General features: G+C 37.9%; 1 protein-coding gene and 1 non-coding gene across 18 annotated transcripts in view; both read left to right on the forward strand.

The window, feature by feature from the left end:
• FOCAD (focadhesin) overlaps positions 1 to 27726 on the forward strand; it is a 340326-nt gene that overhangs the window by 40624 nt on the left and 271976 nt on the right. For 13 of the 17 annotated variants that reach the window (XM_047423537.1, XM_047423539.1, NM_017794.5 and 10 more), the window contains 3 exons: positions 19074 to 19162; positions 21546 to 21620; positions 24132 to 24286. In XM_047423537.1, coding sequence (XP_047279493.1) covers positions 19106 to 19162; positions 21546 to 21620; positions 24132 to 24286 — 287 coding nt within the window. In that variant the 5' untranslated portion in view covers positions 19074 to 19105. Of the gene's footprint in view, positions 1 to 19073; positions 19163 to 21152; positions 21234 to 21545; positions 21621 to 24131; positions 24287 to 27726 lie in introns of all 17 variants that reach the window. The other 4 variants (XM_017014855.2, XM_017014852.2, XM_047423531.1 and 1 more) reach the window with 1 other exon arrangement.
• Positions 19857 to 19940, forward strand: MIR491 (microRNA 491). The gene has a single exon (NR_030166.1). It is a non-coding gene; the product is annotated as a microRNA 491 (primary transcript).

Here is a 27726-nt window from a genome sequence, read left to right on the forward strand (position 1 = left end):
TATATAACATGGTGACTATACTTAATGATAATGTATTGTATAGTTGAAATTTACTAAGAGAGTAGATTTCAAGTGTTCTCACCATACAGACACACACACACACAATGGTAACAAGATGAGGTGATATGTTTGATTGTGGAAATCATTTCACACTGTATACATATATCAAAACATCTGATTTTGTACCCTAAATATATACAGTTTTTATTTGTCAATTGCTATGGTTTGAATGCTTGTCCCTCTCAAAATTCATGTTTAAATTTAATTGCCATTGGCCAGGTGCTGTGGTTCATGCCTGTAATCCCAGCACTTTGGGAGGCCGAGACAGGTGGATGGCTTGAGCCCAGGAGTTTGAGACCAGCCTGGGCAACATGGCAAAACCTCCTCTCTACTAGAAAATACAAAAATTAGCTGGGCATGGTGGCGCAAGCCTGTACTTCCAGCTACTTTGGAGGCTGAGGTGAGAAGATTGCTTGTGCCCAGGAGATGTAGGTTGTAGTGAATTGAGATCATGCCACTGCACTCCAGCCTGGGTGACAGCAAGACTCTATCTTATAATAATAATAATAATAATAATAATTAATTGCCATCGTAACCGTATTAAGAGGTGGAATTGTTAAGAGGTGATTGTCATGAGGGTGCTACCCTCAAGGGTGAGATTGGTGCCAATGTAAAAGTCGGTCCTCTCCTGCCCTCTGTCTCTTTGCACTTCCACCATGTGATGATGTGGCACAAAGACCCTCCACGGATGTTGACACCTTGATATTAGACTTCCTGGCTTCCAGAACTGTGAGCCAATAGGTTTCTGTTCTTTATAAAATATTCCCAATCTCAGATATTCTGTTTAGCAGCCAAAAACAGACTAAGACATCAATTATACCTCAATAAATCTGGAAAAAAATAAACATGTCCTAAGTCTGACCTCTTCCCACTATCTCTACTGCTGTTATCCTTGTCCAAAGCAATATGATTTATCTCCTGGATTATTGATGTAACCTAACTGGTCCGTCTCTTTTTCTTTTTTTCTATCCTTGCCCTCTTATGGTCTCTATTCTTCCTAGAAGCCACAATGATCTTTTTAAAATGTCAGTCATATATGCCATTCCTCTTTCCCAAACCCTGTAGGACTTCCCATCTCACTGAGAAACATCCAAAGACTCCCAGCACCCTGTAGAGGCTTACATGATCTGGGTTTCTGCTTCATTCTGTAATCTCTCACTGCCTAACTTGCTGACTTGCACTAGCCAACACTGGTGTCCTTGGTCTTTCCTAAACTTGCCAAACATGCTTCCATCTCAAGGTTATTCCTTCTGTTTGGACTGCACATTACTTCCTTCAGGTGTCTGTTCAAATGTCACTATCAGAAAGAGCTTTTTTTATTCTTCGGCAGATGCCAAAACGTTTAAAGACCTCTCTAAAATTTACCTATTGATGACTAAAATTTTGATTTTCTTGGTATTATGTTGTGTTTGAATTTGGAAAATTAAAAACTACTTATACTGTAGTTCAAGCAATTAAAAATGCCCTCTAGACTGAAGCTAACATACTTGATTAAAATGAGACTGGAGGATGTTGAACACAGTGGAGGAACACTTGATGTTTTTCTCAGGTGCAGATGGATTAATCTCCTGGCAAACAATTTAGAATCAAAGGTAATTCTGTTAGCTTACTTGTTTGGAACTCTGCAGGACCATTATAGCTTCTAATAACTCAAAGGTGTGACTTTCGCATTAAATAGTTCTTAATAAGTGGTATAATTGGATCAAGTGAGACTTTTTTTGCCTTGGCGTGTGCTGTGGTGAAACCACCTCTTTAGAGAATGATAAAAAACCATGGTTTCAAGTGAATAAATAAGATCACTTTTTTTAAAATTGCAATTAAACATTTTATTTTTTTATTTGAGGAGAATTAATTTCTTTGTAATTTAAAATAAGTAATGTATGCCCCATTGTAAGAACAAAATTAAAAGTAGCAAAGGCGGAATACAGTAGGTTACATAATCATCCATCATCCTGTTCAGAAATAACCCTATCAACATTTTTGCCTATTTGTTTTTTTAATTCTATATTTCTCTCTATATTACTCACATGCACACATTATATATACTATATGTGTATACACACACACACGCACACACACACACATATATGTGTATTTATTTTTATTTTTGAGATAGAGTCTTGCTCTATGACCCAGGCTGGAGTGTAGTGCTGCAATCTTTGGCTCACTGCAGTCTCGACCTCCTGGGCTCAAACAGTCCTCCCACCTCAGCCTCCTGAGTAACTGAGACCACAGGGACACGCCACTGTGCCTGGCTAATTTTTTATTTTTTGTAGAGATGAGGTCTCACTATGTTGCCCAGGCTGGACTTGAAATCAGCCTCCCAAAGTGTTGGGATTACAGGTGTGAGCCACTGCGCCCGGCTTATGTTTTAAACTTTGTTGTGTTCATGGTTGTATGCAAAAATTTCTCAAGTGTTTTTTATTGTAAACTTTTCTTTACATTATTAAAACTCTTTACAAATGTTATTTTCAATTACTGATCAATATTTTATCTGCATAGTCCTTAGTTTATCTTTTAGATTTGTCCATTAATACTTTTGCAAAAAGTGTGCTTGATTTTAAACCTTTTTAATTCTTAACTCACTTTTAAAATGGGAGCTGAATAGAACTTGAAGGATGTATGCCACACTTTGGGATATAGCCAAGAAGTGTCAGATAGTAAGATCAAATGCTCAGGAAGTGGTACCCAGACTGCCCACCACAGAATGATTTAGTTTTTGGCTTACCTCAGACTTTCAGCTTCATGGTGCTAAAGTTCCCTATGAAATTAGGTATGGTAGGTGGGACTTGGGGAGACTTTTGTGGTTCTGGGAATCATACTGGTTCTACCTTATTTGTGTGGCTTGTTCCTGAGCTGATCTGATCTTTGATAACCTTTCTATCAGTTTGGAAGTAAGCCAGATTGGGAGCAATTTCTTAGATAGTGTTTGAATTTGGGCTGAAAGGCAGAAGTAGTCTTTGAGGGTGAAATGAAACTCTTTTGAAGATTGGCTTTATTGTAAGTTGCTGGTCTTTGGAGTGGCTGTTGCTGTTCATCTAGTTGGTCATTTACTTAAAACAGAGTGTTGAAAAGTTCCCTTAGGCCTGTATGTATGAAAATCATATATACTAGTTTTAACATTTGTGAAATTAAAAAAATCATGAAGAGCACCTGGGCGCAGTAGCTCATGCCTGTAATCCCAGCACTTTGGGAGGCCCAGGTGGGTGGATCAGGAGGTTGGGAGATTGAGACCATCCTGGCTAACACAGTGAAACCCTGTCTCTACTAAAAATACAGATACACTGGGCATGGTGGCGGGCGCCTGTAGTCCCAGCTACTCAGGAGGCTGAGGCAGGAGAATGGCATGAACCCAGGAGGCGGAGCTTGCAGTGAGCCGAGATCGTGCCACTGCTCTCCACCCTGGGCTACAGAGCAAGACTCCGTCTCAAAAAAAAAAAAAAAAAAAAAAAAAAAAAAAAAAAAATATATATATATATATATATATATATATATATATATATATATGAAGAGCTACATATTACATCTTAACCCCTTCTTCGTTCTCCTCCTCCTCCATGTTTGTTTAAATAAAATTCTTAAACTAACTTTATCTGAAAGACATCCTACATACTGTACTCTGTCAATTGGATGTCAGCATTTCACCCCAAGATCCTCTTCTGATTCTTGAATATGCTGCTTGATATTTCCACGCTAATATGAAATGATTTACTAATGAACTCCTGCCCAGGATGATTGCAAACGTTAACTAATATCTGATTATTTAGTACCCTATAAGTAAAAACAGCCATGAGTAATGCTAGCTGTATAATAGAAGATTAGTAAATGTTCCTTTTTTTTTTAAAGAAATTATTTAAAATTCCTTTTACCCCAATGGGAAATACACAGAGGTGATACTGTGGGTTTTTAAAGGATTGTAATAAATAGCAGATTAAGCACATAGCTATGATAAATAATAGCTGTCAATGGAAGCATTCATGTAAAACTTATGTTGTATTAAAGTAACAAAGACCCATTTTCCATCTCTATTAGATTCAGCTGGAAACAGTGAAGAAACAGTCTTGTTAGCTTTTACATGTGTTCTTTGATTTTTTTTTTTAAAGAAAATGTACCAAAATTTATGACAGCATAATGAAATTTTACTGGTGTAGATTCTGCTGATTTTGGATTTGAATTTGGCTGAAGTTCACCTTTGCACTATCTACACAAAAATGATTCGCCTAGTTAAAAAAAAAAAAAACTGGGAGTTTAGGATGTGTCTAAAAAGAATTATCATCAATTCCTAAATGTGTTGGTTACTAAATTCAAGTTACTGTATTAATTTGGACATAAAGTTGTTTAAACATTTATTTTTCTACTTCTGGCTGTTATTTATTTTGGTCTTTGTTTCATGAGTCTTAATTAATGAAAAAGATATAGATTCCTCTCTATTTCTTAGTTTCTGTTTTGGAAAGTTTATCTGAAAACAAAATAAACAGTGGAATCCTGATTCTAACATTTTTGAGACTGTTAGGTACTGTGCTAAACACAATAATTCAGCAAACATTTATTAACTGCTTATTCCATGCCAGACCCTGAAGGGGGTGAACAAGAAGCTGCTTCTCTTAAGAAATCCAAATGTCCAGGGTAATAATGCAGCAGGCTTGGTCAGTGGGGACCCTTCCCACTTCTGATTCTTCTTTACTGGCATCTGAGCAGGTGCAGCTGCTATATAGATGGAAACTAGGCCCTTCAGAATGAGACAAGAATGTCTTGAGGAGTGATTATAACCCTCTCAGAGCTGGAAGGGACATTAGAGACTGATCTTAGCTCTCCACTTTGTCCTCTCAAACCATATCCTCATATTCCCTCTGCCTGGAATGTGATGCCAAGTTTTAGTTCAAGCCCTGTTTTCTGAGGCAGCTGCAGGAACTGAGAAAGAACATGCATTGGCTTCCTTTTGATCTTCCTGCTTCTGGACATTTCTTCCTGAGCGTTCCAATATTATTTCAAGCCCTGTTTTTACAAGTGAACTCATGCACACACAAATTTCCCTGTCTCATTGAGCTGTGTTTTCACCTGTCACATGGTGAGGTTTCCTGCCAGCTAAGTACTCATTTGCAGTGGCATTGCCATCTGTGTGTGTGTAGTGTTTAAGCAATCATTTGGGTATATAATTGCTTTAATTAATTTTAGTGATTATTTACTTATTTAAAAAAACAGAAAATGTAGATGTGAAAGTGTTGATATCAGTGACAAGAAGTATAGATTTACTACAGATTGACAATTGTCGTGATGGAAGTGGCCAATTGTTATCCTTTGTTACCTACTCATTGAACTTAAACTGAACAGTCAATGATGAAATAAAGGCATATAACCAAAGAACATATACAGATGTGGGAGATGTATTGCTGGTGATGGTGCCACAAGGATGAAAGTTAAGTTTAGATAAACAATTTTTATGTTTTGTGCTCTGGGCAAGGAGTAATCCTTTAATATGTAATGTTTGCGCATTAGACTTGATTACCTTTTTAGGATTGCAGTATATACAAAGATACAAAGCTGTTTGCATATGCTGATAAGCTGCTTTGGGAATTTGATTTAACACGTATGTGCAAACCCAGGTAATTCATTTAAAGATTTATTTGATTTCCTGAGATGCAGCAAAATATAATGGAAAAAACAAGGTATTAGATTCAGACTCAGAATAATAACATTTAAAAACCGTTTGCTATGTTCATGGCTCTGAGCAAAATGCTTTAATGGATTATCTTAATTTAGCTTTAGTTTTTTAACTTTATTATTGTTATTGTTATTATTATTATTATTATTAGCTATAGGGCATTGTTCTGTTGCCCAGGCTGGAGTGCAGTGGCATGATAATAGCTCACTGTAGCCTTAATCTCCAGTGCTCAAATGGTCCTCCCACTGCAGCCTCCTGGGTAGCTAGGACTAAAGGCATGTACCACCATGCCCAGCTAATTTTTAAAATTTTTTGTAGAGATGGGGTATCACTATGTTGCCTAGGTTGATTTCGAACCCCTGGCCTCTAGTGATCCTCCCGCCTCAGCCTCCCAAAGTGCTGGGATTACAGGCATGAGCCACCGGCTGCTTGATGATCTTAGTTTTACAAAAACTTTAAGTCAACTGTATCTATACTTTATTAAAGAGTGGTTAAGCATGTGAGATCTGGAGGCAGACTGTTTATATTCATGCTTTTGCTTCTTACATAATTAGGCAATTAATTTTGACCTCTCCTTTCCTCACTTGGTTTTTCATATGAAGATAAAGTTAATAGTAGTACTTATGTCATGAGGTTGTTTTGAATATCGAGTGAGAGAATACGTATAAAAAGCTTTGACAGTACCTGCCTGGCACATGGTAAAATTCTCAATAAATCCTGGCTGTTAATACCACTGTATAACCTCAGGCAAGTGACTTCTTCCCTGAGCTCCTATTTCCTCCTGTGGGAAATGGAGTTAATATTTACCTCAAAGTTGTTGTGAGGATCTCGTGGAATTAGTTAAAGTGTCTTGTGGAGTGCTTAGCACATAGGAGATGTTTAATCCAATATGGTATTCCAAATTCTATGTTATGCTTTGCATTTATTCAGTTAATCTTTATTGAATAGGTATTTGTTATATGCTGGGGAGATAGTGGTAAGAGCTGAGATCGTGCCACTGCATTCCAGCCTGGGCAACTGAGCAAGACTCCATCTCACAAAAAAAACAAAACAAAACGGTCCCTGCCTTAAAGAGTTTGCATTTGGGGAGGTGGGGGTGGAGTAGGGAAGCAGAAATAAGTAAATGACAATCATTTGAGATTGTGATAAAAGCTATGAATGGTACAATAGTGGGTCACTGCAGTGGCAAGTAGGGGACTATTTGAGGCTATGGGGGTGGTGGGGGGATAGGGAAGGTTCGAGGGAACATGTGAAGGGAGAGAAGAAACAGCTTATTTGAACAATTGAACAAGTCAAGAGCACTTGAGGCTGAGGGGCCTGAGAGTTCTAGACCCAGATGTCGAAGGAGCTGAGGGTGTGGTTGTCGGGGTGGTTTAAGGAAGAAACTGAAGGCCAATGTGGCTGAAGTGCCCTGACTGAAGGAGAGTTGCAAGACCAGAACCTTTTGGCCTTCCTATAGAGTTGCAGTGGGGAGCCATTGAAAAGTTTTCAGCATATGAGTTAAAAGTCAACTGTATTTTATTCCATGTCTTTGCTATTGTGAATAGTGCTGCATTAACTATATTTTAAATGGGAATCTTATGTATATTCTAACCTTGGGGCTGGTGTCTTATTTCTCTCTAGTGACTTGCATACAAGATCCCATCTTTGCATATAAGTAATTTATCTTTTATCATTAAAACAATTTTTCTACTTCATTACTGCTCACTTGATGAGAGATTCCTTATCACTTAAATTCAAATTCTTTTCCATCATTCACCTTCCTTGACTGTCCCACATGGTATTGAGGGAGGGAGGAAGCACACATTTCTACAGTGCCTGCTATGTGCAAGACTCTCTTGGCTTTAAGGCGTACTTTATATTGTTATGCACAAGACCTTGTTTAACCAATGAGGAAACAGGTTCCAAGATGGTAAGTGATTTGCCTAGTGCTGGAATCAGGATTTGCATCCAGGTCTATGGTTCCCTCCTCCCTTTAGCCCCCAAAGGGGGCTCCCCAAAGCACCTCAGAGCTTTGCTGTCTGTGTCAGGTTGCTCTGTTATCATGATGATAGAGGTAGGTAAGACTGTGAGCTTAATCAGATTAAGGTGTTATTCTTCTCTGTGGACAATCTTAGAGTTTGCAAAAGCATATATGTCATTGCTTCACAGTGCACCATTGATCTTATTCATTTGAACATTTTCACTGTGGTTCTTCTAACAGTACTGCGATAACTTTGTTTTTGTCCTTGTAACCATTAAGGACTCAAATACAGAGATACTCTCCATGTCCATTTTCGTGTATGCACATTGACTTTGTTGAAAATAGAGAAATTTACTATCTTGTTGTAAAATTTTTTTGTTCATTTGGTCTTCAGCTTTCATTAGCACTCAGTATGCAAATTAAAATAGCTAAACCATATCTATTCCATTCTACATGAATTTAGTAATTTAGTTTTTATGAAAAATACCAAATGAGCTTGATTGGTCACTTTGCAACAATCAAAAATGTTGCCAATAAACTTGTAATCAGTCTATATAGTTCTTTTCCAGAGTAAGAATTTTATTTTGGAGGAAGATTTCCTAGCAGTCTACTTGGGGAAATTATAATAGTTATTTTTCTCCTTGAAAATGAAGGAAGAAAGCTTTTAAGTGGTTTAAACTTAATCTATCTGGCTGAATTACATTGGCCCCTTTTCAATATTACTCTTTTCATAAAGCGTTGGTAAACATAAGTAACAAAGTAATCTTTCATCATTTTATCAACAATTTTTCTACTAAATTGCTGCTCACTTTATGACACCCTTTAGTGATGGATTTCTACGCTTTCAGTGATTTGGGTGTCAGAAAGTTATATCCTCTATTTCTACAAAATGTATTATAATGTTAGTCAAGATTTTCCTATTTTGGTAACTTTATTAAAATTACAAAACACATATTCTCATAGAACAATTAGAAACTGGGAATGAGCAAAAATAAAAATTATCCACAATTGGTACATTCCGGGCTTTTCTTTGTGCATATATACTCTGGAGCGAGACTACTTAGGTTGGAATTCCAGTTCTGTCACTTACTCTGTGACCTTGGGAAAGTTATCTAAATTTTCTTTGCCTCAGTGTCTTAATCTGTAAAATGAGTAACTATCTCCGGGTTACTGTGGGGGTTGAATGAGTTAATACATGTAAAATGCTTAGAATATTGCCTTTCCCCTAGTAAGAGCCACATACATGGGTTTTAAAAGACCTTTTATTATGGAGAATTTCAAACATAAAAATAGAGACTAGTATTATGAATTCCAGTGTACCTATTATTAACATTTAGACATTCCTGTTTCATCTATCAGTCTTCTTTTATTTTTCTTTCAATACTTGGGTATTTTATAGAAAATCCCAAATATTACATCCTTACACTGTGTATACTTTGTACCATATTAATATCTGCTAAGAATTAGGTAGGTTATTTTAGAGAGTGAGTATTCAAAATTTGAGTCATTTTTAAGGGGAGAAAATACAAGCAAAATATCTAAAGTATCCATTCTGTGATGTTTTACTAATTTAGTTAACTGAATGGTATTTGAAGTAAGATTGTGAATGTGGAGATTTTGCGATCATTTATTGGCCAATAACACATTTAAAATAATTAGGTATCAGTTTTATTTTAAATATACTGTAAATATTTTATATGAACATGAAGTCTTTATTTAGAAAATGTTTTGTACTGGGCAATATATGTAATTGTTTTGGTGAAGGAAAAATACTTAAAAATTATAATATTGGAAAAAAAAAAGTCAACTTTGAAGATTTAGATTGGATGCTGAAAAAATTCTAGAGATTCATAAGCCCTTAGATTTTAAAAAATAACTATTTTTCATTGATATACTCATATATTTAGCATATACATATCCATATGCCACAAGTTAAAACACAGAATAATTAGAGAAAATTTGTAACTAGTTAGGCATTATTCAGTTTTAAGTTTTTTTTTTTTTTTTTTTTTTTTTTTTTAAACAGTGGCTGGTTCTGTCACCCAGGCTGGAATACAGTGGCACAATCCTGGCTCTCTGGAGCCTTGATCTACTGGACTCAAGTGATCTTCCCACCTCAGCCTCCCAAGTAGCTGTTTCTACGGGCATGAGCCACCATACCCGGCTAATTTTTAAACTTTTTGTAGAGATGGAGTCTCCTTATGTTGCCCAGGCTGGTCTCAAACTCTTGGGCTCAAGTGATCCTCTTGTCTTGACCTCCCAAAGTCTTGGGATTACAGGTATGAGCCACCGTGCCTGGCCAAGTTTGTAGTTTTATTTTTTATTTTAATGCCTGTTTTCCTGGACAGCAATCAGTTCTGACTTGGAATTTCCTGCCTTTGATCTTATTTTAGGCTCCCATTTCAAAATCTGTAAGTAGCATGTGATATTGAGAAGGAACTAAATTGTAAAGGCAGGAATTTGATAGAATTCATTGTACTTTTATTAAATGGCAGCCAGTGAGATCATCTGAACTCATAGTCATGTAAATTTTCTCAGTACTTGAATTATTGATCTTAAAATTCCTGGATACGATGCAGTGATATGGAATTGTGCAGGTCATGCCTCATGTTACCGATGGTCCAGTGGAAAGAACACTTGGTTGGAAGTCAAGAAACCTCTGTTCTCACTTGAACTCTGTCATGATGACTTTCCTTTTTGGCAAGTTGCTTTAACCTCTCTGACATTGTTTCTTCATTTCTCTAGTGAAAATATGTAGGGAGGGAGATGATGTTAGGTCCATTATATTAGTTAAGGAAGTGCTAGATATTGCAACAAGGAGACCCCAAAATGAAATGGTTCAAACAGTGTAGAAGTTTTTCCTGTAATAGTTGGAGTTCCAGGTATGTAGCCGTGCAGCAAGCTATCATTTAGGGATCCACGTTCTTCCCATTTTGTTTCTTCAACAGAGTCCCAGGGCCATTGTCTTCATGTGCGTGGTTGTGTCTAGGCTGTTGCCCAGAATTCACTCTGGTTCCGAAGAGAGAGTGGAGGAAGCAGACCCCAGCCTGGAAATGGCATGTCACTTTTGCTCAAACACCACTGGAGAGAACTTGATCACATATTCTTACTGTACCATATTTGAGGCTGGGAAATGTAATGAAGTTGTTCAGGTTACAGTTTTGTTAATACAAAAGAAGAGAACAGATATTGGTGGATAAATAGCAGTCTCTTCCACATCATATGGTTGCTGCTTTCTCTGATTATAATATTGACCAAGTGGCTCTGTCACACCACTGAGTTGCTATCTACTTCAGCTTGATTTTGAAATTATTGGCTAAGATAAAAGTATTTTCTACTCTGGGTTTAATTTTAATGTGTCTTAATGGTCTCTCTGAGAATATAATAACTAAAAATTACTGTTTTCTTACACCTGCTCTTTATTGTTGAAAACTTTCAATTTTTATGAATTTTTATGAATCATATACAGTTGACCCTTGAACAATTTGGGGTCTTGGGGTGCCAATCCCTCATGCAGTCAGAAACCTGTATGTAACTTTTTACTCCCCAAGAACTTAACTACCAATAGTCTTATGGATATTATAAACAGTTGATTCGTACACATTTTATGTATTATATATACTGTGTTCTTACAACAAAGAAAGCTAGAGAAAAGAAATTAAGAAAATCATAAAGAAGAGAACTTTTCATTAAGTGGAAGTGGATCGTCATAAAGGTCTTCATCTTCACCTTCGTGTTGAGTAGGGTGAGGAGGAGGAAGAAAAGGGGAGGTTGGTCTTGCTGTCTCAGGGGTGCCAGAGGTAGAAGAAAAGCCACGTATAAGTGGACCTTTTCTCAAGGGTCAACTGTGGTTAAAAGGGTTCCAATTATCTTGTCCTGTTATTTTGGGAGTGTTGGTGGCAGTTGGATTTTTTAAGCCTTTGAAGCAAGAGCTGAGGCTAAGTGTGAGCAGGTGTCAGGATTTCATACAAGGTGATGAAACAATCGAGCTGCCTGATCTTAGAGAGGGTACATGGAAATACTTAGGGACTGGGAAGCAGTAGATGAGAAGCTAAGCAGCAGAAGAATGAGAAAGAGATCCATATTAGACAGTACAACAAGGTGGGCATTTGAAAAGTATAGGCAGAATTTTCCCCCTCTTTTTTGAGGGACAGGGTCAGTCAGTTGGTGACTCTAGAATCCACCCTTGAGCCATAGTCTTGATAAATTTATAAAATCAGCTCAAAATTTATTGATAGTGCCCATCAGCTTTTCTATAAGCCATCCACAACAAGTAAGAAAAAAGATAAAAATTGTCAAAATATTTGTTTAAAAGTATGGTTTTAGGCTGATGGTTCCATAGCTTAATTTGTGGGAGGAAGAAACTAAGTAAATTCCATAACTGATAATTGGAATAGTTAATAAAATGTTAGAAAAAGAAAAGTCCTGGATTTTGTGTCTCTAAAACATAGAGCCCATTAATGTGAATGAAGTACTTATTTTTTTATCAGCCATTTTATCAGTGTGCTGATGATACTGCTCCTGTAAACTAGCTTTAAGAATGTACTCTGGGCTGGATGTGGTGGCTCACACCTGTAGTAATCCCAGTGCTTTGGGAGGCTGAGGGTGGGAGGATCACTTGAGCCCAGGAGTTTGAGACCAGCCCGAGGAACAGAGGGAGTCCCCGTTGCTACAAAAAATTTTAAAAAAACTTTAGCCAGGCACGGTGGTGCATGCCTGTAGTCCCAGCTACTTGGAAGGCTGAGGATGGGCGGATCACTTGAGCCCTGGAGTTTGAGGCTGCAGTGACCTATGATTGTGTCACTGTACTCCAGCTTGAGTGACAGAGTGAGAGACCCTGTCTCTTAAGGAAAAAAAAAAAAATTCTGTTTAGCCCTGAGTTTCAGCCATATGACTGCCCTTGAGCCGTTCCTATATAGAAATTTGGTAGTCAAGAGTGCTCAAAGTCAAATGTCTGTCTTCGTCATCATTGGACCCTCCTCCTCCAACTACCTTGTATATCAGTTATTGTCTCTGCTGGGTTTTCATAATTGTTAGATTTCCTCTTGCTTTTAAGATTGTGTCCTTTATTTGAGGTTTGACATTAAGTACTTTTGTGTGATACATAGTTGTACAATATCCTAGAGAAACTATTGAGAAAGTTGAAAACCCAAAGTGTTTTATCTACTGCTCTTTTATTAGTGCAATTGATAGATTAATTTTCTTGGAAGTATTCTTAGGGGCTGAACTACCTTGGCAGATAATGTGATAATTGCTTATATTAAACAACTGTTTTGATTCACTGGGAACTTAAAGACTTCATTAAAAATTCTCTTTCTGATTTAGGTTTAGACAGACAAAAAAGGCATATTGAAAGGTTGGAGATAAATCTTTGAAAATCAAACATGCATTTTTGTAGCATGTGGTTTATGGATTATATTGTTACTGGTTTCCTTTTAGTAAAATGGCATGACAAGAAGTAATATATAAATTGTTTTTCCTTAATGTATAAAATACCCAAAGGAAATTGAGTTTGAAAATAACGTAGACTGCTCTCCAGACTGGGTGACAAAGTGAAACCGTCTCTGTCTCTTAAAAAAAAAAAAAAAAAAAAAAGTAGGACACGTACTACACTTGCCAATGCTAAAGTGACCATGTGTACTGTTTTTTGAAATTCCCTAAGAGGATATGATGTTTTATACCTAGAAAAGGCCAATGTTTGTGATTAACCTTGAAATATAAGTCTTCAGCAAATGAAAGACACTTGCAATTTGTAGCCCAGTGATAGCAAATCAAGAATGATGTAAAGTCATATTGCAGCTTGGGTAGTGGTTTTGAGAATGCTTAATGGCCATTTGTTAGGAAAGGTAAAGTTACTATAGATTTAAAAAACATATTCATTCTCTGAGGTGTCACACTGAAATTAGGGCTGTCTTTTGTAATCTTTGGTATTTGTCATCTGTACTTAGGTAATTTAGATAAAAACAACACTGTTTTTCCACAGTGGCCCACCTCCTGAAAACAAGGTCATCTTTTTGGATGGCTCAGCTTCTTCACTTCTATAATAAGCTATTAGCCTACCCAGCTGCTCACCTGGTCCCCAAAGACATACTGGAATTACAGCATTCTGGGCCTGGATCAGAGTGCATAGCCCCACATCTTCTTCTGTATAGTTCTATCACCATTGATATTTGAGTAATTATATTCTGTGACATATCAATAATCTTACCTGCTTCTGTGGATACTGTAAAGTCAGCCTTCTGTTGAGTTAGATTAGATCATCAGAAAACTCTGTACTTGGATCCCAGTAGCTGAGATTTTTTTTTTTTTTTTTTTTTTTGCTGAATAACATGTTACATTTTGCCTGTGGCTTTATCCAGGGTTTGCTTAAAAAGTAATATTACTGGGCACGGTGGCTCACACCTGTAATCGCAGCACTTTGGGAGGCCGAGATGGGCAGATCACCTGAGGTCAGGATTTTGAGACCAGCCTCGCCAACATGGTGAAACCCCTCCTCTACTAAAAATACAAAAAATTAGCCAGGCGTGGTGGCGGGCACCTGTAATCCCAGCTACTCTGGAGGCTGAGGCAGGAGAATTGCTTGAACCCAGAGGTGGAGGCTGCAGTGAGCTGGTATCACGCCATTTCACTCTAGCCTGGGCAACAAAAGCGTAACTCTGTCTCAAAAAAAAAAAATAATAATATAACATTTCCTTTTGCTTTTGTTATTGAGAATATTGCATATTATATCACTCTATATTCCATTTATAAAGCCCAATGTAAGAAATTTCCTTCAGAGTTTAAGGTCACAAAAATGTTTGTTTTCTTTGATAAAGGATATTTTCTTACCTTTTAGATTATAAAAGAGGTATCATTTATTTTGTTTATTTACCCTAGCTGCCTGGGAGCACAGGGCCAAATTTGAATGTTAATTGTAGGAATTATGTCAAGAAATTTTGTAAATTAATTTAAAAATAGTTTTATGTACTGGGAGTTAGCAAACTATGGGCCACCCACTTCTTTTTGTAAATAAAGTTTGATCAGAACACAGCTATAGTCATTTATTTATGTATTGCCTATTGCTTTCATGCTACAATGGCAGACTTGAGTAGTTGCTCTCTGGCCCTTTACAGAAAAAAGATTTCTAGTCCTGATACAAATAGTTACATGTGCCTCAGACCAAAATGCAGTAACACTGAATATAAAGCAATATGATTACTGTTAGATGTAGCTAGTTGGAAGAGGCTTAACAGAGATGTGCTATGAAAGGAGTTTAATATTTAAGCAGTGGAAGCATATAGGAGACATTTTATGTGGGAGAGAAGAAATGAAATCCTGTAGGATTGAGCAGATTTTGAACATGTGGGACCATTTTGGAAACTGTTTTAGCTAGATTAGAATTACAGCAGTGAAAATGAAGTTGAATGGGTAAGACTGTTGATAGGAAGGCATAAAAGCTAGGCATCAGGATTTGCATTTAATCCAACAAACAATTGAAAACCCGCTATGAAAATTTCACAGGGAAATGATATGATGGGAACAGCATTTCAGTACAGCTAATCTGACAGCAGTGTACTAACTCAGCATGGAGAGCCCCAAGACTAAGCAGTTACTGGAGTAAGCCTGCCATGAGGAACTAAGATGATGAGTGTAGAATGAAGAGGAATAGTAACCTCTGAGGTGCTGGAAAGAAGGAAGCCGATTTTGTGGCTGACTGGATTTAGAGAGTGGTGGTGAACGAAATTGTGAGAGGATAACTGGGGTAAAATGAACTGAAGTGACAGTTTTTTGAAAGGAAATATGTGTTTTGTTTTTGATGTCCCTAATTTCTGGTGTTTTAGAGCCTCCTAAGAGAAAGTATGGAAGCGTTTGGAGATCTGTGCCAGATGACGACTGATAGCTGTGGGAGAGTTTGTATGGAGGGACAACAGCACAAGGCAGAGTGGCTGGGGAGTGCCTCCAGGAGGGAAGATAGCACTCGAGGAGCAGAGTGGACAGAGGAACAGGAGGAGTCAGTAAAACAGTGTTTCCCAGTGTGTATCCCAGGACAGACTGATAGTATAGATGGTTAGCAGGTATTTCCATTGTTGCATGGCCAGATAGATTTGATAAATTCTGGGTTAAGCAAAGTTAAATAGACTTCTTGTATTAGACCCTCTTATGTTCTTTAATAATATGCAACATTATTTATATCTCCACTACGATCTCTCCCTCCAAGTTTAGATTCCTGTATTCGACTTTCTACGAGACATTTCCCCTTGGGATACCTGTGAGGCATCTAAAACTTAACTGTCCAAAATGGAATTCTTTGTCTTCCTCACAAAACTTGGTTCCCCATGTCAGGTGATGGCAGCTCTATCTTTTCTTTTTAGTAAAAAAACGCCGTGGTAAGAAGTAACATAGAAATTATATTGTTCCATGTGTAAAATGGCCAAAGGAATTGAGATAAAAAATAAAGTTGCTCAAGCTGGGCATGGTGGCTCACGCCTGTAATCCTAGCACTTTGGGAGGCCGAGGCGGGCGGATCACTTGAGGTCAGGAGTTCGAGACTAGCCTGGCCAACATGGTGAAACCTGTCTCTACTAAAAATACAAAAATTAGCTGAGCCCAGTGGTGGTGGGTGCCTGTAATCCCAGCTACTCGGGAGGCTGAGGCAGGAGAATTGCTTGAACCTGGGAGGCGGAGGTTAGTGAGCTGAGATCGCACCACTGCACTCCAGCCTGGGTGACAGAGTGAGACTCTGTCTCACAAAAAAGAAAAAAAAAGTTGCTCAGATTAAAAACCTTGGAGTCATCCTTGACTCCTTTCTCCTATATTCTTTTTTTTTTTTTTTTTTTTTTGACAGAATCTCACTCAGTCACCCAGCCTGGAGTGCAGTGGCACAACCTCGGCTTATTGCAACCTCCACCTCCCGGGTTCAAGTGATTCTCCTATCCCAGCCTCCTGAGTAACTGGGATTATAGGTGCACACCACCACATCTGGCTAATTTTTGTATTTTTAGTAGAGACAGGGTTTCGCCATGTTGGCCAGGCTAGTCTCGAACTCCTGACTTCAGGTGATCTGCCTGCCTCAGCCTCCCAAAGTGCTGGGATTACAGGTGTGAGCTACCATGCCTGGCCCTTTCTTCTGTGCTCTTATCCAATCCATTAGCAGCCACATTGGCTTTCCCTTCAAATATATCCAGAATGTGACCACTTGGTACCCCAAGTGATTCTATTGAAATCCTACTGCCTCTTTGTGCAGTAGCTTTCCATTTCACTCAGGATAAGTGTGTCAGTCCCTGTAGTGGCCTACAAGGCCTTTTATGACCTGGCTTCTCATTGATCCTTTGACCTGATTTACCATTCTTTTCCTCCTTCACTCTGCTGTATGCACATCTCTTTATTCTTCCTAAGACAGGGCTTAAGCAATTTATTAGCTTAGGGCTTTTTCCTGTGCCTGTGACACTCTTCCGCCTAGATATCTGTTTGGCTAATCTAACTTCCTTTCCTCCTTTAAGTCTGTTCACATGCCACCCTCTCTAGAAGAGACTGACCTGGACTACCATATTTAAAATGGAAAGTGTGCACTTCTCCCATTTCTCATCTCCTTTATTCTGCTTCACTTTTTTTTAATTAGCACTTACCATCTTCTAACATATTTTATGTATTATTTGTTTAAAAAATTATCTGCTGCTTTCTACTAGACTGTAAGCTCCATAAATGCAGAGATTTTTTGCCTATTTTGTTCACTGATATAACTCAAGCACCTAGAACTGTGCTGGACACACAATAGGCAACTAATAAGTATTTGTTAAATGAGTGAATGAATTTCAAGATAGGAATATATGTCCGCATAGAATCTTTCTTTCACCCATGGAGATATTTTTTTCCTGTGTTTCCCAGGGACACACTTTAGGAGACTCTGTTGTGAGTATTATGGAATTCAAAGGAGGAGAAAACTACAAGAAAGTTGTGATTGACACAATTGGGAAGTTAAAAATTTTTGACCTGCTTAAGCTAATAAAGTAGATTTAGATAGGAAAATAGTTTGCAATCTTAGAACAAGTTGTTTTAGTGTTGTGGAATGTCAAATTCGGGGAGGAAAGTTGGACATAGATGTCGAAGAAAAATACCAGGATAAATTACCCATTCAGGGAGTTTAGCTTTGGATAAAAGGGTGGAAAGTACAGATTGAGTATTCTTTATCTGAAATGCTCGGGACCAGAAGTGTTTTGGATTTGGATTTAAAAAAAAAATTTTTTTTTGGACTATTTGCATATACTTTAAACCGGTTGAAAATCCAATCTGAAAATCCAAAGTGCTCCAATGAGCATTTCCTTTGAGTGTCACGTCAGTGCTCAAAAAGTTTCAGATTTTGTAACATTTTGAATTTTGTATTTTCAGATTAGGGTTGCTCAACCTGCAGTTAGAAAAGGCTGCTAGTTCATTACAATATGCTTTGTTTTTTGAGATCAAGGGAACTTGGTTTTTCTGCTTGTTATAAGTTAATCTAGGGCTGTTTATTGACATAAATTTTAATTTTAATTATATTGTAAAAGTAGGTGACCTAGAGGGCCCTGTTTTTCAAAATAATGTAATTGGTAGGTTCAGTGCTTCATGGAAATGGGATAAATTGGGATCCTTAGGAAATCCTCTTATTAGTTCCATGGTCCTGCTTTACCACCTGCCTTCCCCATCCTTTTGCATGCTTGCCTGCCTGCCTGCCTGCCTGCCTGCCTGCCTTCCTTCCTTCCTTCCTTCCTTCCTTCCTTCCTTCCTTCCTTCCTTCCTTCCTTCCTTCCTTCCTCTCTCTTTCTCTCTTTCACTTTTCTTTTCTTGTGAGCCCAGTAGGAATGATAAGTGAGATATAAATATTAAAAGTTGGTGCTAATTGTTTGCTTGTTCCTCCTTTAGGAAACAGTCTGTTTTAATGTGTGAACTTCTAGGTCTTTTCTATACTTCTTGAAAAAAGTTCACCTAGGCTTCACACTTGTCACTAGCAGTTGGATTAGTGCTTAGATGAAAGCTTGTGCCAAAGTGAGGCATAGATGAAGTAATTTTATGACCGTTTGACTCTTTCTCCCTTATAAGTTTTGATCCACAAAAGAATTAATTTCTATTTCAAATGTGTGGTTGAACTTTTGGATGTTTTTTTCATTTCCGTAGTGCAAATTCATCTTTTTCAGGATTAGCTCTCATGGGAAAAACCAAGAGCTGTTGGGCATTTTTAGTTTATTTATCAATCATGACATTTGAGTGCTGGATGACAATGAAGTTTTGCCAAGGATTACTCTGCAGAGCCCTGTGCTTTATTTCCATTGTTATCTTTGGAATGGATTACATTCACATTATTTGAGGAATAATTAATTGGAGCCCCAATTCAGACCAGTTGGAAGACTAACAAATATTCTTTTGTTTTGGTTACAGAAGCTGCACACATACATGTAAGAGAAGCAAAAATGTCAGATGATATCAGGAAAAGGTTTGAATTTCCAAATTCTCTTATCCAATCACAGGTAATTTTGTTTGTTTATTTTTGCTCATGGTAACAAATAAACCTGTTCTGTGGATTTTTAACTGAACTTTATATATTTAATATTAAATATTTTATTCTACATGTAGAGATTTATATTTTGTGAAACAACTTTAAATATACATTTAATTTGAAAATATATATTTGACATGGAAAGCAAATATTTGAAATTGATCAATCTCAGCTTCTGTTTATATATCATACTTTTCTTCCTAGAGATAATAAAACCTTGATTAACTAGTAGGCCCCTGAATATGTTTGTTTGGTTTTTTTTGGCCTATGATTATTGGGAACAGAGGTAAACAGTTATATGTCTGAAGAGTATGAGGGATTAATATTTAAGAAGACATATCCTACCCCTTATATAGATTTTTATAATAATGATATTTAATAAGTAAAATATCCTGGATTAGAAAATTTGATATATCTACTAAGATAGAAGATTGTGATAACTTTAAAGAGCTTTTCAATAATTAAATAGTTAAAACAAAGATGGCTTTCTGGGTAGCCTTTAGCTAACTAGAAACATTCTGGTTAATCAAGGTATCATAATAGCTTATTGTCTTTTCTTGTGAGAGTAAAGCTAACAGACCAGCAGAAGCCATCTTGAAGACTTAACAACATACAGCACCTTGGATACTTTCAACAATTAACTTCGGAGATGTCTGCTGTGGGAATTGACTTAGCTGGGTAGTGGGGAACCCTTCCATGAGGAGTAGAACACTCCTTATGCAAGATTCCCTTCTACCTGGCTGGGTTGGAGTCATATCCTGCAGGTCCTTACCATGAAGAAGAAGATGAAGGCTTGGAGGATACTATTCACAGTTTTATTTTTCTGTGCCTGGAGTCTCTTTGTTAACATAGATAATCAAGAAATGCCCATACGTGTTACTGTTAAATTAGGTGAAAAAAATATATATATATATTTATATTGTTTAGTGTAGGATGGCTATTTGAATTCTGTTATAGAACACTTAAGTAGCAATGTAGGCTGATTTATCCTTGGGTTTTGTATTTTAAAAAATCAGTTTAGGCTAGTATCTCTGATTTGTTAGAAGATGAAGTGAAAAGTATATTAGATAAATTCAACCTGGTGGGGAATGGGGAATTAAGCTTCTCTTCTTTTATTTCTTTTTCTAGATATGAACTATAGCTTTTTCTTTGTCCCTATTGTGTTTCATATTAGTTTTATTAGGTTCTTGTGATTGTGTCCTGTCCTTTGCAAATATTTCTTATTGTTCTTCTGTAACCACTGCTCGATGTTAGCACCATATTTCTTTGATTCACACACGTTTTTTTTCAGATTTTAACATCTTTGAAATTGGATTGCCTCTAGTAATTGATGGCAGCAGTTGAGATACAGTTGGTATTGCCTGCACATTTGTGAACTTGGGCATGATTTTCTACACGAGTCTAAAAGAACTCTTGTGTGACTATAAAACCAAAATTCCGACTTATAAGAAGCACTGTATATCATAGACTAATTGGCAGCCTTTTTTCTTTCTTAGTGGCACACAGTATAATGGTGCAACTTGCAATTCCTGGTCAGTTCCATTCAATGAAATATGGTATGTTTTGTAAAACAGGAGCTCAACCTATCCATGGGTGCTCAGTTCTTATTACTATTCCTTTTACTAGGAGATAAGAGACAGTAAGTTGGACTAAACTTAATATTCATGTAAATGAGTGACTTATATCACAAAACTAGACCACAAGCACCACGGTCTTAAATCAGTTCCAATGTGTGAAATACAAAGAGAAAAATGAGGAAGGAGTGGGTGCTGTGTTTTTATTTGAGCTGTTCTGGAGACTTTGCAGGACTGACAGTTATTCACAGCTATACCGTAATTTGGTCCCAAGTGCAGGATGGACAGTTGTAGCAATAGTGAAGTAGTTTCCAACCCGTACACAGAATGGCAATGATTGTTGCTAGCCTATTGGCTCTAAGACATATTCTTCATATTCGTTAACAGTGTGATGAAGCATGGTGGATTTCGTTTCAGTGCAAAGATGATTTTAAAAACTATGGGCTTTCTCATTCATGTTTTAATGGAGTAAGCAATCTCAAGTTATCTTCTGATACTGACAGCAATTTGAACCAAAAATCTGGCAGTTTTCTTAACCTCTATGCACTATAGTTGCTTATTGGTAACCTGGGATAGATATGCCTACCTTGAGGGCTATTCTGAAGATTAGAAATTGTGCATGTGGAGTGCCTAATTCAATGCCTTCTACATAGCACACACTTAGTTAATGGGAATTTTACTTAATCCTAATTGACTGCCTGGCATACTCATATCAACTAGTATTGATATTTGGAAAGAACTTCTAAGGGACTGTGTTCATTAATTTTATTTCTTTTTAAGGCTGTGGGTCATCTTATTGCTGCAGTCCTAAAGGAAAATGGTTTTTCAGAAAAGATTCACCAATCTACAAATCAGGTCTGTGTTTAACTTTATGCTTTAATTCTCTTCAGATAAGATTGCTACTAGCTGGATCACATATGCACCTGTCTTGTTTCCCTGATAGTTCAGATCACAGTAGAAATGCTTTTGAACTGTGAGAACTTCATTGCCTTTTTTGTTTATTTGTTTGCCTTTTTAATATATAGCAATAAAAAAGTTTTAAATTTATTAAAACCCTCTAGGAATGAGACATGGAGGGAAGGGCTGGAGAGGAGTATTCTTATGACTATTAATGAAAAATAATATGGGTGGAATGAGAGAAAGCATGCTTTAGAGAAGATTGATAGAGTTACCTCTGAGGGAATTATTTTGGTAATGAAGAGAATGAACAGAGTGGCTCTGTTTGGATGTAGATTTCTCATGCTTCAGCTCAGCCCCAGCTGTGAGTTCTTAGTTGGAAAGGTCATACATTGACAGTCAAAGCTGAAAAATTCCATCTTACACAAATAGCAGGTGAATGCTCAGAGTTGAAGCAATGCCAGCTTACTGAGATACACTTGGGGTTTGGTTGATCAGTGTTGTGTGTTTTGACCTGCTAGTTGGGAAACTCTTCTTTTAAGAGAGGTGTTCTCAGGTGTCCTCTATAGGGAACATAAGTGATGGAAATAAGATTCTTTTTTTTCACAGCAGAAATAAATTGATTTCCTTTGTCTCACATTCTTTTTGATTAGCTGCTCCAAGTTACATTTCTTTATTGCTTCTGCAGACATGTTGAAGTAAGTGTAGGACACACTTCACTAATTGGCATTTTTCTGGTGTTTGTATGTAGTCATATAAATTAGGTTTTCTGAAAACTCTGATCCTAATCCTGCCTATAATCACATTGTGTACTTTGAGAAGATCTAGTGATTTTACTTAAACTGCCAGGATTTATTGAATGTCAAATCCCTGTAACTGTTTCCTCTTCTACTAAAAATGAATGCTTACACAGTCTTACCTGAGGCAGCAGTTTATTTATTTGTTTGTTTTGTTTTTCCGGTGTAATAATAGAGTGATGACATTTAGAACCTTTTGATATTGTCAGTACAGCTGAACACAATGTCCTTATGAATAAAAGGAGAAGTGGAATATAAATATTTCCTTCCTGTAGTGATTGTTAACTGTATTGTTATTTTAATAGTGGGATGCTAAGATAGAAAAGATTCTTAGCCAGCTACAGAGGGAAAGTGGGTACAAAATGATGTTGATTTTCTTTTCTTTTTTTTTTGAGACAGAGTCTGGCTCTGTCGCCCAGCCTGGAGTGCAGTGGTGTGATCTCAGCTCACTGCAACTTCTGCCTCCTGGGTTCAAGCAGTTCTCATATCTCAGCCTCCCGAGTAGCTGGGACTACAGGTGTGTGCCACCACACCCAGCCAGTTTTTTGTATTTTTAGTAGAGACTGGGTTTCACCATGTTGGCCAGGCTGGTCTCGAACTTCTGACCTCAGTTGATCCACCCGCCTTGGCCTCCCAAAGTGTTGGGATTACAGGCATGAGCCACAGTGCCTGGCCTTGATTTTCATTCTTTTATTAATAGTTATTCTTTGGGAGCCGGGATATTAATTTTTCCCAAATTATATATTTCCCTAATAAGTTGCATCAGGAAAAAGGAAAAATTGCTTCATTATTTGTTCTTTTTTTTTTATAATACAACTGTGTGTAAGTCTAAATGGACTTTATCTGCAATATAGTCATATAGGTTTATTGTTAGTAGTGAACCATTTTGGTGGTCCTGGATTCCTGAGAAAGTTATAAAAGCTAGAACCCCTGCTTTGATAGGGTATTCTAAAATGAAAACTTATATTTACTTATATGTCCTTCTCATGCTCTTCTATCAGTGAAGACAGAGTCACAGTGTGAGAGGGGGAAAGTCACAGTTTCTTTCTTGGGCAAACAGTTTTCCTAGGCTTTTTTTTTTTTTTTTTTTTTTTTGGTAGCCATGGACTGAGCAGCTTGCTGGTGGCCTGTCCTACTTCTCTCTTTATATCTGGGCCCACGTTAGACTTCAAGAAATTGTGGCAAGGGCATTGTGGGTGGTGGTAAGGTGCATGTAGGTGATAGAGGTTGGTAGTAGGAGAGAAGGAACATCTTCTGAAAATAACTGTTATTGTCATTGAAGGCTTATGGCATAAATAGTATTTGGAGTTCAACTCAGGCTAGCTGATATACTATTAGTGTCTGGTTAAATTGTTTGGTTAGAGCAATGTGCTAGAGCCAAGTTTTAGCTTTGTTGTGTTGCTTGAACTCGGGTCATACCTCTGCCTGCAGCCAGCCTTGTTTTATAGCCATGATACCAGGTGAGAGAGAGTTGCTGTATCAAAACACATCCATTACCTCTCTTGGAAAATTGACTTCATTTTATTCTAGGAACAGAGTGACAACAGCATCATCTTTATAAAGGAAAGCTAGCCTACTGTGAACAAATTACTCATTGATGAATGACCAAAGGTGTGTGTGTGTGTGTTTGCTGCTCATCAGAATTGTCTTCTAATCACTGGTTTGGTTTCAGACTCCTGCTTTGAACTTGCTGTGGGAGAAGTGTTGCAGTGACAATGTAGTGGTTCGAACAGCCTGCTGTGAAGGTCTGGTGGCACTCGTTGCTCAGGATCATGCAGAGTTCAGCTATGTTCTCAATGGGATACTCAACTTGATTCCATCAACCAGGTACTTTTTCCTCAGTGTTTGGTCAGTTAATGATTTAAGTTTTTAGGAAAAAAATTCACTAAATCACTATTAAGAGTCAGCATTCATCCTACTTGCCAGTTGTTTTTCTTGCTCTTAAAATGTCATGAGTTGCTGTTTCATATATGAAAATATCATGCTAATTTAAACCCTATAGTTTCAGAATTTGTGGTCATTTGCGGTACTTAAGTTTTGGGGCTCTACTTAAATTTGTCGTTGCCCTTTTTAAGAAGAAAATAGCTAAACAGTTTATAATTCAAAAATGTAATGCAGATTCCTGACATTTTAAGAAAGAAGGTTGTCCATAAGCAATGCTTCTTCCACAGTGGTATAGTTTATACATTGTAGTGGCATTACTTGGCCAGGCCTTGGCATTAGTGTATTAGAAAATAATGGCATTTATTTCTCAAATATTTTGTGATTTAGGGATGTCTTCCCCCTGATTTTTCAAAGTTAATAATGTTTTGTTCTTTGAATTTGTTTGGTATGACCATATTTCGTCCATTTACAGACTGAGGTAATAGGACAATAAGGAATAAGAGGGTTCCATTCAGAAATGGTCAAACAGGACCATGTTTGAACCAGTGAGCCTCTGTTATAAAATACTCCCTGAAAAAGAGTTGTCACTCTTTGCTTCAAGAAATTGTCTTGATCTATATGTCCTAATTTTTGACTACTTCAAATCATTTGGGCTTTTGCCCCCTTCCCTCACCTCTCACCAAGCCTCCCTCCTCCTTGGTGAAGCTACTTGTTTTTCCAGTGTTTTTCACTCACCTTTATTATAGTATCATCGGGCTGAGTACTTAATTTTTTTCCCTGCCTTCAGTGGAGATGGAGTACAGCTGTAATTATCAATTTGTGGAAAGATGCTGGATGCAGTGGGTCACGCCTGTAATCCTAGCACTTTGGGAGGCTGAGGCGGGCGGATCACCTGACGTCAGGAGTTCGAGACCAGCCTGGCCAACATGATGAGACTGTGTCTCTACTAAAAATACAAAAATTAGCTGGGCGTGGTGATGCGTGCCTGTAATCCCAGCTACTCAGGAGACTAAGGCGTGAGAATCACTTGAACCCAGGAGGTGGAGGTTGCAGTGAACCGAGATTACACCACTGCACTCCAGCCTGGGTGACAGAGTGAAATTCCATCTTAACAACAACAACAAAAATTTGTGGAAAGATTCCTGGGCTTGAAGTTGATTAGGTTAAATAACCCCTAGCCTTTTAACCTTTCTTTATAAATCGTTTCCTGTTTCCTTAGATCATTTCTTTGTGTCTTTTTGGCACCTTGGTCTTAATTTTGCCCTGTTCTGCCCTGCCTTCCCCTCCCCTCCCCTTCCTCCCCCTCCCCTCCCTTTCCTTTTCCTTCCCCTTCCTCTCCCCTCCCCTTCCTCTCCCTTCCCCTCCCCTCCCTTCTTTTTTCTCCCCTCCTTCCCTCCCTCCCTCCCTCCCTCCCTTCCTTCCTTCCTTCCTTCTTTCCTTCTCCCTCTCTCTCTCTTTCTCTCTTTCTTTCTCTGTTTCCTTTCTGACTGGGTCTTGCTATGCTGCCTGGGCATTATTGTAGCTCACTCAAGCCTCAAACTACTGGGCTCAAGTAGTCCTCCCGCCTCAGCCTCCTAAGTAGCTGGGACTACAAATGTGTGCCAGCATGCCTGGCTTGGTTTTTCTTTTCCTTTTGCAGTCTGTGGTTGCAAAAGGAAAAGCCCTTCCCAAACTAGATCCAGCCTTCTGTTCAAGTTATGTTTCCCCCCATGAACCCTCTTCTCTAGACATCCACAACTCTTCAGTCTTCCTGAGCCCTTGTGTGTGTTCCACACCAGCATGGCATGCTCCTTCCCCTTCTCTGTCTGACATCATCTTTGTTATCCTTTCAGGCTGTGCTCAGATGTCCTCTTTCCTGTCCAGACACTTCCCACTTCTCTGCTGCGCTAATTGTTGTTTCACAGTATGTGCCTATGTGTGTTATTTTTAAACCTGTATTTTGGTATCTGGCACTCTCTCTGACACTTAGTAGATGCCCAGATATTTCTGAATAAGTGAAGGTTTGATCATGACTGAAAACTTACTACTTTCTCTCTTTCTGTTTCTACACGCATTCACATACACGCATATAAACACAAAAATTTTAGAATAATTCTATTGTATACCAATTAAAAAAGTAGTTTTGAGGAGAATTTTGAAAAGTTAAGATTTTTATGTGTCTCTTGTTTTCTCATTTATTGGTTGATCTTGTGCAAGCCACCTAGATTTTACCTTACCTTTTTTATTTGTGAAATGCAGGGATGGTATTTTTTGCCCCCCACCCCACATATTTTCAAATGCCTTAAAAATCTGCAAATGTAAAATGTAATTGCATTGTGTAGTTGTACTATTTATATTCAAAAGTTAAAGTATCAGCAGCTCATGGGGCCAATGTAGTATCTTCTGTGTATTTGAGGTGTAATTAGAGCAGGTTAGATTATACCTTTAATTCTAGAAGATAATCTTAGAAAATTATGCTGGTGTGAGGTATCATTCACACATCAGTATTAATTCTTCCTCCCTATTGTAAATTGCAAAGTATAAGCTTTGCAGATAGTGAATTATCCTGTCATCTCTGCATATTATAATTTGTGGGTAACCTTGGTTATTTTTAAATTTAAAAATGTGTTTTTTGGGTGAGGTGCGGTGACTCATGCCCGTAATCCCAATACTTCGGCAGGCCGAGGCAGGCGAATCACTTGAGGTCAGGAGTTCGAGACCAGCCTGGCCAACATGGTGAAACCCTGTCTCTACTAAAAATACAAAAATTAGCCGGGCGTGGTGACTTATGCCTGTAATCCCAGCTACTCGGGAGGCTGAGGCAGGAGAATCACTCGAACCCGGGAGGCGGATCTTGCAGCGAGCTGAAGCTGAAATTGCACCACTGCACTCCAGCCTGGGTGACAGAGCGAGACTTGGTCTCAAAAGAGAAAAGTAGTGTGTTTTTTTGAATAGATAATATATTCACATTGGATATTTTAGGCAAAGCCTCTGTCCTATCCCAGTATCTGTGTTTTATCCCCCCTGTGGAAGACAAACTGTTAGTAGGTCTTATTATATTCTATGTAATATATAATAGAAAATTTGTATGTATGTGTATTTACATGTATATTTTCCTTCCTTAACAAACAGAAATAGTAGCCTATTACATAGTATTCTTTAGTTTGCATTTTCAGTGAAAAAATATATCTTGGAGCTTGTATTAGGCTGTTCTTGCATTGCTATAAAGAAATACCTAAGGCTGGGTAATTTATAAAGAAAAGTGGTTTATTTTGGCTTACAGTTCTACAGGCTGTACAGGAAGCATGGTGCCAGTATCTGCTTCTGGCAAGGGCTTCAGGAAGCTTACAGTCACGGTGGAAGGCAAAGAGGGAGCAGGCATGTCACATGGCAAGAGCCAGGAG

Source organism: Homo sapiens, chromosome 9 (assembly GCF_000001405.40).
Source record: "Homo sapiens chromosome 9, GRCh38.p14 Primary Assembly".
Lineage (NCBI taxonomy): Eukaryota > Metazoa > Chordata > Mammalia > Primates > Hominidae > Homo > Homo sapiens.